This window comes from Homo sapiens, chromosome 14, assembly GCF_000001405.40.
Source record: "Homo sapiens chromosome 14, GRCh38.p14 Primary Assembly".
Classification (NCBI taxonomy): domain Eukaryota; kingdom Metazoa; phylum Chordata; class Mammalia; order Primates; family Hominidae; genus Homo; species Homo sapiens.
In genome coordinates this window covers 57,298,924-57,313,219 of record NC_000014.9, presented here as the reverse complement: position 1 = coordinate 57,313,219, position 14,296 = coordinate 57,298,924, and positions in this window count along the sequence as shown.

Here is a 14,296-nt window from a genome sequence, read left to right as displayed (position 1 = left end):
CTGTTATCCCATTATTCAGATGTTGAATCTCCTGTATTTCTCCTCTGGTTTTTAAATAAATACTCTTATGTTTTCTATTTGTCCTGACCTGAGGGTCTCCTGACCTTGGGTGACTCACCTGCCTCGGCCTCGCAAAGTGCTGGGATTACTGGCATGAGCCACTGCGTGAGGGTGCCTCTTGTGTTTTTTTTTTTTTTTTTTTTTTTTAAAGAAAAACACCCTTTCCTGTTATTTTTGTGTGTTTTGTTAAGGCTGACAGAAGACATGCACATGTTCAACCTGTCATCTTTAGATAGTGATCCAATATGTCTTTATAGAGGGCCTACCATGGACTGGACTGTGCTAGGAACAATGGGGAATATAAAGATGTTCCCTCGAGTCATGAAATTGAATCACTGTCAGGACTCAGTTTTAACCTGAAATTTAGAATTGGCCTTAGGAAAGACTGAGTAATTCAAGATGCTGATTTTCCCATGATTGAGGTCAAATCAAAGATGGAAAAAACATAGTGTAATAATTGTTAGAATGAGTAAGAAAAATCTTCCTTAGGTACTTTATGTATTGAGATTTCTACATGCTGTAGTAATTTTTTTCTTCTTTTCTTTTACTATTCGACCCAAAAAACTAATTAAGATGAAAAAGAGAAAAACTTTTTTTTCCCCCTGAGCATTTTCAAGATAGTCTTGTGAAAATAACTCTCCTTTGAAGGGGTGTTAAAGTCCCCCAGGATTCAAATATAATAAACTTGATGTCACACAGTCAAATGTCCATAGAAGCTACCTGGGTGTAAATAAAGAGAAGCAATAGAGCAAGAGACATAATATATGGCAGAAGGCCCTTGACCTTAGAGTTGAGGGACCACAGAAAGCAGCAGGAACTGTGGAGAACTGAACAGGGCATACCCTATTTAAAGAGGGTCCTCGCTATTGAACTTCAACCTCTTGCTGCTTTGTGGAAATGAACAATCCAAGTTGTCAAGGGAAACCAGAAATCTGTGTTTTTAATATGAAAATTTAAAATAAGATATTAAAACAAAATATTAAAATGTTAATATGAAATAGCCCAATTAAAACATTTTAAACATTAAAAAGTAGCTAAACTTTTTTTAAAAAAATACTGTGCAGGCCAAAGAAAATGTATTTGTGAAGCAGGCTGAGTTGTAGGTCTCCAGTTTGCAACCTGTGCCATAGTCTTCTATTTGCCCTGGATTCATTTTTCAAGATTATATAGGGCCATTCACAATTGTCATGGCAAATGTAGCCCCAAAGATTGATATTCATCTCTGGAAATATTAGGCTTAGCAGGATGCAAAAATGGGAGATTCCGACTTACTAAAAAAGTGGGCCAAAAATCCTATATGCTGTTTGCCATAAGAGTTACACTATTTTTTCACAAAGAGTTTTGACTCCATTTCTCAAAACCCGCCAGCTTTTTCACAGTGCTTCTAATCAGAATTGAATTTTTTTGTTTTTTTTTGGGGGGGGGGGACGGAGTTTCACTCCATCGCCCAGGCTGGAGTGCAGTGGCACAATCTCGGCTCACTGCAAGCTCCACCTTCCGGGTTCACACCATTCTCCTGCCTCAGCCTCCCGAGTTGCTGGGACTACAGGCGCCTGCCACCACGCCCAGCTAATTTTTTGTATTTTTTAGTAGAGACGGGGTTTCACCGTGTTAGCCAGGATGGTCTCGATCTCCTGACTTCGTGATCTGCCCGCCTTGGCCTCCCAAAGTGCTGGGATTACAGGCGTGAGCCACCGCACCCTGCCTCTGATCAGAATTGATCTTGCAATGCTGTACAGCTGTATATAGGAGTGAAGAAGCTCTCTATCCATTGTTAGGAAAGGACTGCCAATATATATTCTTAGGTGAAAAAAATCAAGGTGAGGAACAATGTCTAGTGTGCTACTTTTTGTGTTAAAATAGAGGAAAATAGAGACATATTTGTCCATTTGCTTGTATATGCATGAATAAAATCTAAAAGGTTACGTTTTAAAAATTAGGAACGACCTGTGGGGTACTGGGCAGATGGCCGGGCGCGGTGGCTCACGCCTTAATACCAGCACTTTGGGAGGCCGAGGCAGGCGGATCACGAGGTCATGAGATTGAGACCATCCTGGCTTACATGGTGAAACCCTGTCTGTACTAAAAATACAAAAAAAAATTAACCGGGCGTGGTGGTGGGCGCCTGTAGTCCCAGCAACTTGGGAGGCTGAGGCAGGAGAATGGCGTGAACCCGGGAGGCGGAGTTTGCAGTGAGCAGAGATTGCGCCATTGCAGTCCAGCCTGGGTGACAGAGCGAGACTCCGTCTCAAAAAAGAAAAAGAAAATGGGCAGATGGGAACAAACTGGAGAGAAGGCGTTCATTATATACCTTTTCCTTGAGTTATGATATCATCTTTTTGAAAAGTTAAATTAAAAATTATTCTATTTTTAGCCACGTGCAGTGGCTCATGCCTGTAATCCCAGCAATTTGGGAGGCCGAGGCGGGCGGATCACTTGAGGTCAGGAGTTTGAGACAAGCCTGGCCAACATGGTGAAACCCCGTCTCTACTAAAAATACAAAAAATTAGCCAGGCATGGTGATGCATGCTTGTAATCCCAACTACCTGGGAGGCTGAGGCAGGGGAATCGCTTGAACCGGGAGGCGGAGGTTGCAATAAGCTGAGATTGCACCATTGCACTCCAGCCTAGGCGACAAGAGTGAAACTCTGTCTCAAATTTAAAAACAAACAAACAAACAAACAAACAAAAAAACCTATTCTCTTTTAATCACAAATCCATACCAAACTAACTTAAGTTTGAAAAGGGTGGTGTATTGCCCTATGTACCTGAAGAGTCCAGGAGCAGGACTAGCTGCACAAGGCATGGCTGGATAAATTAGGACTTTTTTGCTTTTGTTTTCTTTCCTCTCTAACTCTCAACTCTCAGTTTGAGGGTGTTGGCTGCATTCTCTTACAGCAGATGCTGCCCCCTAAGATTCTGGAAAAATGGTTGCAAGATGTATGAGTCACATGCCTACAGTGGCTACAATCTATTATTATAGATTGCCAAGGAGGAAGAGAAAATATCTTTCTTCTTTGGTAATAAAGTCCAAAAAAGAACTCTGGATCATCTTAGGCTACATACCCATCCCTGATCCCTGAACCAATCATTATGGTCAGAAGGTAGAGCACTTTGATTGGCTAGGCTTAGGTCACATGGGGATATTTAGCTTGTCTTCACTTGTACCACATAGAAAGGGCAGGGATATTCCCTAAAGCTAGGGGTGATGGGCCATGAACACAAATCTATTATAGAACCAAATGGGCTCAAAGTTAAAGCAACCCTTCTAAAACCCTGTGGCTCAGATCTTTATTAAAGACCTGCTGCAGAACTCAGGGAGCTGCAAGATGCCAGGTGCATGGAAAATGACCATTAATCCTCCAAAAATACACTCGCAATTTACATAGGCTGCAAAGATGAGACTAGAATATGACATCTTTTCCTAGGCCCCTACCTGATTAAAGTTGCTATTTTGCATACCAGGAAACAGAGTAAGCCCGTTTTCCTCACAGATTGTTTATTTCACTCAGGTATAAATTGTTTGAAAGCCCAAACTAAAATGATGAGAGAAAAGAAGAAGCAATACAGCAAGCTCAGATTTCAGAAATGATGAATTAATGTTCACCAACTTGACAGATTTTTCAAAAATAAAAACTCAGCTACGTTCATTAAAAAGTCATCTAGTCTGATGACTGAAGACAAAAGAATGAATGTCCTGTCAGTGAGTTAGCTAGTTTATGCATCCTGCAGCTTTTTCAGGACCTGGGGAAAACTCATTTGCTTCAAGGACTGATTCCTCTCACAATGCATAAGGTGTGGCTATTTTTGAGTGTACCTAAATTCTCTCTTGAAGGCTGAATCAAGCCACTTGAAACCCTTGAAATATCAGTTTCTCTGTCTTTAAAATTGAGATGATAGTTTTGTTTTATAAAATTGTTGGGAGCTGCATTAGTGTCTGCTATAGACTGAATGTTTATCTCTCTCCACAAAGTCTGTACATTGAAATCCTAACCTCCAGTGTGATGGTGTTGGGAGTTGGGACCTTTGCATGAGTGGAATTAGTGCCCTTATAAAAGGGACTCCCAGAGAGTTCCTGTTCCCTTCTGCCACATGATGTTACATGAAAAGATGTCTGCCTATGGACCAGGCAGCCAGCCCTCACCAGATGCCAAATCTGCTGGCATCTTGATCTTGGACTTCCCAGCCTCCAGAACTGTGAGAAATAAATTTGTACTGTTTGTAAGCCACTCAGTCTACAGTAGTTTGTTACAGCCACCCAAGTGGATTAAGACAGTATCCTACTTAGTCAATTGGGTGGCCATGTTTGTGGTAATTTGTACTGCATTTGTACAATTTGCATTTGTACACTTTGTGTAATTTGCAATACAAATGAACACAAATGTAGCTTAAAACAACACAAAATTATTATTCACAGTTCTGGAGGTCAGATGTCCAAAATGGGTTGGCAGAGCTGCATTATTTCTGGAGGCTCTAGAGGCAGAAGCCATTTCCTTGCCCTTTCCAGTTTCTAGAGGCTGCCTACATTCCTTGGCTCATGGCCATATCACTGATGTCTCTCACAGTTATATCTTCTTTTCTGACTCTGACCCTTGTGCCTTCCTTTCAGAATGACTCTTGTGATTACACTGGCCCAACCAGGTAATCGAGGATAATCTTTCATATCAAATCCTTAATAACATCGGCCATGTAAGGTAACATATTGACAGTTTTTGGTGACTAGGATATGAACATCTTTGGGGGACCATTATTCTGCCTACCACCAGAGTAGAAAATGAAATAATGTCTGTGAATTTTCTTAGCACTGTGCTTGCCACATATTAGATACTAGATTAATGCTGATTTTAAGTTTCTAAGTTTTATCAATTCAGATATTTGACCATGCATCCTGTCTAGCCTTACATTTTTGGATGTTTGATATCCTGGTAGAGCAGAATATATAATATTATATTCCCATGAATACCAACCTAATTTTTTATACTTATGAGCTCTTTGTACTTGAAAGAGATTGTTTATCCAAAAATAAAGGGCAGTCCTTGGATGGAACTATTTTAAGCGGCAAAATTGCCAACACGCACATTCTTTTCAGCTACTCTGTAAGGAAGACCAAATGTACCACATGGATTGTGGAGAATTTTCAGAGGATACTCAATGTCTTAAAGAATGTTCCATCTTATAGATGGCAATAAAAGAGTTAATTCATCAAGGTACACTGCAGGAGGTCAAGATTTGGCAGTACAGGTGTTTGTACCTTAGCACATCTCCCCATTTGTCTTTAGGTTAACAGGTTCCAAGGGCATCGCAGTGTCCTTCTTTTGGGGGGGGTCCTGCTGGCCCAAAATTATACTCAGCATGGCCCAGTGGCTCTGATTCAGGGGGTTGAATGGTGAATTTTGATGCTTTTCTCCTGGCCTATTATACTCCAAGGACTTTAATGGCAAAACAGAACACGCTACCACATTGAAGAATGTGCAGTGGACTTTGAGAGCCTCCCAAAATGATTCATGAAGCCTAGTCATATATCTAAAGAAAGGTCAAGATTAAGGCTTTATGTATTCTAGCAGAAAAAATGAACGCCCATGATTCGCAGAGGGGTCAATCTTTGCAGTAATGAAGTTTATATTTGGGATGATGGGCCATCCCTCATATATGTTCTTTTGGTTAATAATAGTCTTTGTTTAGTAGTCACTCTCCTAGGAGGGAATGCTAATGTAATACTCACTGAGTTTTCTGCTGCTGGCTGGAGATTATCAATAGGTCATAAATAAACTACCATCACATAGAAAAGACAGTAAGATTATATATACTCCTACTACCTCCAATTACTGTAAGAGTAACAATTATAAGGTTGTACTCCTACAGCCACCCTAGGGCGAAAATGAGAGGAAAATGTTCCATTAGCTTAATGAAGAGAACACGGCAGAGCCACAAATTTCCTCACTATTAGCACCCATGGTGTGCCCCAGCACAGGAGGGAAGCTCAAGTTCCAGGGTAACAATTAAACTTTCTGACAATTAGCCCCTGCAAGGTATGGTCTCTGAACCTAAAGGAGACATTTCAAGGAATCCCATTTACATTTTTCTCACCTCTTGCCTCTGAAATTTGAGTCATTTGCTTGTGGAAACGGAGGGCATCAGGGCAAAAGTTTCTTTTACAGATGGCTACAAAGCATCATTGGCAGGCTTGCCAGAGAGCACCCATCAACTGAATGCCCCTGTTAGTAGAAGGGAGGGTTAAGAAAGGTGAAAGATCTGCAGAGAAATGTTCACACCAACCTAATTAGGGAAAAGATGAACTGGATCAATGTGAGTACTTCAGCTTTAGTGTTATTTGCGTTAGAAAGAAGACCACTGAAGAATAAAAATAGATGTAAGTCCTGGCATTGCAACTGTCAAAGAGTCAGGTTTGCTCCTGGCAGGCCTTGTATTAGAGGGAGAAGAAATCAGGCTCCCCAGACAGGCTGCCCTGTGTTCACATTTTGGCTCTACTCTCATCAAGCCCCGATTTTTCTCCTCTGCAAAATGGAGGTACCAGTAGAACAAACTTCCACGGTTTTGGGGAGGATTAAAAGAGAAAATCCATAGAGATTAATCAATAGTAAGTGCTTGACAAATGTTAGGTATTATTATCTAGGTTCAGAATTAGCCTACAACACCATGCATTTGTATAGCATAAGTAAATATGTGTGATAATGAATACTCTCAACATTTCCTTTGCCAAAATTTCCATGTTCAAACTTTACTTGGGTGTAATTAAATAGTTTACTTAAGATCCTCTCAATTTAAGAAGTAGGGTAGAATATTTATACAATTTGGAGATGTAACATGTCTGAACTGTTCTACAAATTGATCATAAATATATGGATAAATATGGGCAAATAATGGACTTTTCTCTCATTATCCAAAACATAAGGGGCTTTTGTTTGGTCCAACTTCTTTACCCAATTAAATGGAATACTGATGTTGAGCACACCAGTCCACTACTTCTCTTGCCCCTTATTGCAGCCAGAGCCTGTTGAAAAGTGGGTGGTCTACTGCCTATCTCTCTGGGCAAGACAAAGCAGCTCTTAGACAAAGCCCAACTTCTCTTCCTTGGAGCTGACTTTGACCATGGTGCAGCTCTAACGTACGCCTCTTTCTCTTTTATACCCCACATCTTCCAGGGTAGCAGTTGGCCTCAGCAACTCTAGATCAGTCACCTCATGAATGCAGTTCCCCCTCCCCATAATTTTGCTCAAAATACTCTCAGTGGATCTCCTGAATTGAAAATTTCCAACCTCTGACTTCCAATTATAGTTACTAATAGAAAGCTTAAAAAAAAAGTCAAATAGCAGACTATCTTATTGAGAAACAGTCTTGCTTAGGATACAATATTTCAAGCATTATCTTTCATACCTGTGGATTTTACACTGATGTTTCAGAAGGTAGTTGGCAATTGCAATTAGGCTTTAGGTGTTTTGTGAAACTACAACAGTTGTTTTTTTAAAAAATCTTTTAAAATAGCAAGATACTGAGTTTGAGAAATAGAAGTACTTCTCAATGATACCTTTGCCTGTCCTGTGACACCTAGATGTCCTTGTCATGATTAAGCTTGGGCCACTTCTTTTTCCCGGTGTGTGGATTTTGCCTTTCACAGCACTTGCTTCTCTTTTCCCAATCATTAGAGGGTTCACTTTTGCCCCCTGCTACCTGGCTCTCCCCCATTTTGTGACCACTATACATTACGTTGTAAAAATTGTACCCCACTTCCATTCCTAGGACTCTTTGTCCTGATTACCCCTCCCCTCTTTTTTTAACTCCAAAGAATTTATCACCACCTCATATACTATGTATTTTACTTATTTACATCTTTATTTTCTATCTCATCTTACTGTAGTTAAGCTCCTTGAGATCAGGGGATTTTGTTCTATTCATGCTGATCTCCAGTGACTAGAATAATGCCTGGCACATAGTAGATGTTCAACAAATAGTTATCTATAGGTAAAATGTATTAATTTTTAAAATTGTGACCCAACCTCCAAAATTATAGATGAAGATTTTTATAACTCAACTTCCTTAACTATGAACCCTGTCATCATTGTCATCATTACTTTTTTCTTAATTTGTCTCATCTCTCATGGCTACTAACAATAAAATTTGATACCTACACTAATTTAAAAAGAGATCTAATTTAAAAAAAAGAGGTTGACTTTTTAAAAGATTTAAAAAGAGATGGATAAAAAAACAGATAATCTAATCGTCTTGCTTCCACATTTTTCAGATTTAGAAACTGAAAATAGATATAATTGTGATTGCACAGCTACTTGCACTGTGTGGATCTTGGGGAGTGGGGGAGTGTTGTTTTAGTTTTAAGATGGAAAAGCCCTGTGACTTTATAAAAAGATTTGATAACCTGTGCTCATGAGGATAGATGCTCCCATAAGCTCATGAGCCCTAATTCCCTGTTTGCAATCACGAGTAATAATTTTGGCTGTCCCTTTATCAAGGTGGATGGACCACATGAGTAGGATGAATAAGGAGGTGCTGATGTAGCATAGTTTGAAAGGTATCTAACAGTATGGAGGCCCTATAGCCCCAAATACAGAACACTGTCAATGTCAGAAATCGCACCATTGGCCTTTTTGCTCAGCTTTACTCACTTTGCAACATTCTATCTGAAAAGCGAATCCTCTAATATTAGAGCACGTGAAGTCGCTAATACTTCAGTGGGGACACAGAGACTTGGAAGTGATTCCCAAAATCTAGGCACACAGAAGTACTGAGATTTTAGGTATGGAGAAGGGGCAAAGTGGATACTAGTAATGTACTCAAAGAGAAAGCAAAAATGCTGAGGGTCAACTGCCCACCTAAGGCCAGCTCTGAATTTCCTCCCCAGTAAAATGGGTCAAACGAGCCTGCATAGTGTTAATGGTGGAATATGATGCAGAACTAATCACGTTGTATAAACGCCCTTGGAAGCATGTGGTTGACACACAATTATTTGAGAATTGTTAATTTACTAATAGATAGCATCCTTGGATCTCCTTCTTACTAAGTGAATATTGATGAACATATAACGTTCAAGGTTGGTGCAGCACATCTTTGAAGGTTTTCTGCAGTTGGATGTCCCTGGCACAAAACAAAGCACGTTTTTGTCGAGAGAGATGAAATGAGGGAATGCAGTAATGTGTCGAGGGCAGGGTAGTCCCCTCCTGATGCAGGCAAAAGGGGATGCAATGTCTGTAGAGAAGTACACGTAATAAAACTGACCAAAATTTGTCTGCTTTTCATTATCACTATGTGCCACCAATTCTAAACTATGCGAATAATAAAATAATCCTCCTGTAAACTGCCTTGTGTTAAATTCTAAACAATTGCTCTGGTTGTGGTTGAGTTGAAATAAAACATATGAAAGTTTCAAATGAGCACATCTTGATAACTTACCCTTTAATAAACATTGTATCCTACATGTAAATTAATTTGGAGAATTTCCAATTGTACAGTTAATCCCCCACAAAAGGGCTCTGCTATACCCATTCTTTTTGAGAGTAACAATTGTGAAGTGCTGAAACTCACTTTGAAGCCAATTTCTATGTTTAAGCAGTATAGTTGAAATTAACAATTTAGCGCTGTGATTTTAAAGATGAAGAAACAGAACCTGAGTTACTTCAATTAGGTCATTCTGTGTAGTTTTTATTACAATAGTGAAGCAGCATGCCAAGTCTGAGGCATGTTTTTCACAAGTGTAAATTTAATGTTTTTGACAAGTGCAAATTTTATTTCAAGCATCATCTTTTACTAAATTTGAATAGTATTACTTTATTGTTAACTTTTTTTTTTTTTTAATTTTGAGACACGGTCTTGCTCTGTTGCTCAGGCTGGAGTGCAGTGGCACAATCACAGCTCATTGCAGTTTCGACTTCCCAGGCTCAGGCAATCCTCCTGCCTCAGCTTCCCAAGTAGCTGGAACCACAGGCTCACACCACCACACCCGGCTAATTTTTAAAAATTATTATTAGAGACATAGTCTCCCTATGTTGTCCAGGCTGATCTCGAACTCCTGGTCTCAAGATATCCTCCCACCTCAGCCTCCCAAAGTGCTGGCATTACAGTGTGAGTCATCGTGTCTGGCCTAACCATTTTTTTTTTTTTTTAACTAAAGAATAACTCAAGAAAACAGAATGTTACGTCAGTGGTGTAATCTAGTTGTCTAAATTGTACCTTTTGCAGATGTTTTGGTTTTACTAAAACTCAGTTACCAGTTACTGTAATGTTAGTATGCATTACTGAGACAGACTAACATGTAGGTATAAACTCTCCCCTCTTTTTGAGATATATAATGTAATTTAAAAGTATTGGTATTTTTTATTCTGTAATATTTCCTTTTTAAATTTTTGTACTGGCATGATTATTATGCATACACACACACATTTTCAATAAAAGACCATTTTTAGTATCTGCACTCATTTTTCAGCCATCATTCTCGTTCCTTTCATGATTATTACTGAAAATAATTTTGTCCTGTGAAGATGGGTATTAAAAAAATCCACTTTAGGTGTCAAATACTCTAGATATGACACTAATACCTACAACACTGGTACTACAATGAGATCTTTTACTCGGAGCTCTTAATTAGCTGCAGCTTTGCAAATACACTTTGTACCTTCACTGGCTGATTTTTCTAGTGATTGCTAAAACAATGAGCTACTTAAGACCAATCTGAGCTCCGTTTAATTCGGTTAAAAGATAAGAATTCTTATTATTGCAGTTACTTTGTCTTGATTGGTTAAATTAACATTCAGTTATTGGGGTTGCTGTGCAATATACGGTACTATTTTACCTACTGTGTGTTCAGAGTAGTCTTGTCATAGTAACAGCATGCTAGCATAGGAAGCATTATAACAAATAGGTAAATACATGTCTTTTGTGAATTAAAGGAGGTAATTATGTCAGCCTTACTGCACTTGTGGGTGAATAGCTAAAAATAATTAAAGTAAAAATGCCAGAAAATATTTAACATTAAATAAAAATAATTCCAAGATTGTCATAAGAGTGAAAATGAGCTATAAAACATAATTTTTAGTTTCTCTTGATAGACTATTTCAAATTAGAATATGAAAACACATATACAAATACTCTTTTATTTTCCCTTCATTCAAAGCAGTCCCAGTCCTAGACTATACGCTACAGCTACGATTGCTGTAATTTTCCTGTCAAAATATTTGTTACAAAAGACTTCCAAATAATTGTTTTTATTTTTATAATTTATCTTTATGCTTTGTACAAACAAAACCCAAAAAAATCTTGATATTTAGAATATTTTGGCTCCCTAGAAACATGTAGGATTATGCTGTATGGGGTGTCCTATTGAGATTCATTTAAAAACAAACACATCAGAACTTGCAACTGAGCCTCCAAGTCGTCTTTGGTTAACTACACACTTATTCCAATGATTCTGCCATTGTCCCAAATCTTTCTGGGAATTTTTTTCTTTGTGAATGGCCTTTAAACCATGTAGCATATTCTTCCAAATATTTGATGTATTGAGCCTCATGAATATAAGGTGGTTAATTATGTTAGATAAAATGGTTTTTATTTAAACAAAAGAGGAAATTATGAGGTTCATTTTTCTTTTGTAGCTTCTAAATTAGCTTCGAAGACTTTTCCAAGAGAGGTCCCCTGAATATTTTTCTAGCTAGGATACACTGGAATCATATCTAGAGGAGACTAATTTGAAAGACATGTATTTGAACTGGTAGAGTTGTTAATGATGTGAGTCCTCCTTTTTCTTTTAATAGTCAAATAGATTTTAATGGCTATTGATGTAAAGCAACAATCAGTGGCATAACACAGCCGTGTGTGGGCAAGAATGAAATGCTTAAATTTAGAAGCCACCAGGGAATTATCTGACATCAGTTTCAGGATCACACTACATTTTCCCCAATCTTTTTTTCTAAATTTGGCCTAGAACATCACTCAGCAGTGGGTTGACATTATTTTGCATATATAATTATCCTCAGCCTTATTCCAAAAATGATTTGAGAAAACTATAAGAGATATAGTAGTATATCATTAATAAAGATCAGTACAATATGATAGGGTAGTACAATAGGATGCAACATAAAAAATAGATTGAGGGTGGGAGAGGTGACTCACACCTGTAATCACAGCACTTTGGGAGGCTGAAGTGGAAGGATTGCTAGAGCCCAGGAAATTGAGACCAGTCTGGGCAACATAGCGAGACCCCATCTCTACAAAAAAAGGTTTTAAAAATTAGCTGGGCATGGTGGTAGGCACCTTTAGTCCTAGATACTTGGGAGGCTGAGGCGGGAGGAATGCAGAGCCTGGAAGATTGAGACTGCAGTGACCCGTGATCACACCACTGCACTCCAGCCTACGTGACAGAGCAAGACCCTAGCTAAAAAAAAAAAAAAAAAAAAAAAAAAAAAAAAAAAAAAAAAATTGAGGCAAAGGGAAAATAAGGATAGAATAGAAAAATGAAGACAATACAAAGCTATTAACAAAGCATGTAAATGAAAAGCCTCTGCATACCTCTAATAAAGATCAGAATTTCAGCTGTCAGTTTCCTAGTTACCAAACCAGAGAGGAAAATAATCTGTTACAAAACATATATATACTAATATGTGTGTGTGTGTGTAGGTGAGGTGGCACTGGTTAGCTTAACTAGATGAAAATCTAAACCTGACTCTGCCATTGACATAAACTTTTGATTTCTATGTGTTGCAGTAAACATGAGGATTTAATACTTGGCTTTTCCCTATTATACTAGAATACATTACAAACAATAATTGGAATGTAAATAATTATGACCTATTTTCAGTTCATAAGTCATTAATAGAAACAGCTGACATTGATATTCGAGGGGAGTCAAAGGGAATGAACAGGCATCACCTATGTCGCATTCACTTTGTATGTGCTACATCATTTAATTCATACACCAGTCTTAAGATGTAAGGTTCCTATTTTATAAATGAGGTCCCTGGGCCCCAGGAGACCTTCTTAAACAGAGATGGCATTTGAACTGTGGCCTGCCTAATGCTACAGCCAGAGTATATTCTCCACTGACTACATTGCTTACTAAGCCTGCCAAAGGCTTTATTGAGAAACTATCTTACGTAGGATAATAAAAAGTTATCTTTCTTTTGGATTCCCTAAGCATCAATCTTTGGTTTTCACAAAGGCCCAAGATTACTGTGCACTCATTTGAGTTTTAACCTTTATGTTAGCTATACTCTACCCAAATGATTTACTCATTTTCTTTATATGAATTCCTTTTAAATTTATTTAAAGAGAACTTTAAATCACTATTAAAAATGTAAAACAAATGTGTTTGCCAGAAATAGAAGACACAAAGAGAAGTAACTATTAAAAGATGGGAATATGTGTAGTTCCTAAGAAGCTCTCTGGCACTACCAACTGTGCCTCCCTGGAGGGTGGGGGCCCTCCTATGCAGGACTGGGAAGTCAGGAAGCTCCTTGAGTGTAGGGGAGTGGTCTCCGGGAGTTTCTGAGGATCAAATCCAGGCTTCGATGTCATTTATTTTTCTCTTTTCAAACATGAGAGAAACTTGGCATTGTGGCAGAGACGCAACCCAGGGAAGATGAAGGAATATACCCACTGCCATCAGAAATGTGTAGCTGCAGCCTAGGATACCTTATCCAATGGAGCAAATTTGGGCAAAATGCTGGTAGAATAAAACAAAACAAAATGTGTCTTTTCTGTGAGATGAGAACAAATTATCTCCCACTCCTTTTAGCATTACTGAGATTTAAGTGCCCTTGTTCTGAAACTTCAGATTTTCAGGAAGCAAAATTTGACAACTCAAATGTTTCACCACATGAATAAATCAAACAATCTGATATTAAAACATTTTATGTTGTCAATATTTTTCTATTTTTTTATGAAAAAAAAGTCAAGAAACCCCAAGAGATAACAGCTGGTACTCAAAGCATTTCTACATCTTTTAGATTGTAAATTTTAGGAAAGCAGGTACTTACTCTAATTGTACATTCCCACACCCCCCCACCACCAAACAGGCCCCAGTACAGTATTTTATGCAATGTGTGTTAGAATATTCTGAACATATTCATCTCTTTACCAGACATCCAACTCCGGTTTGATCATGGTTCATCTTAAAAAGAAATGACTTCCACAAACAGCAATTTGTTATGAATGGTACGGACCATATGTTGGACAATGTAAAAGACCTCCAGAAGTTAATTGAGCTCTATTAATA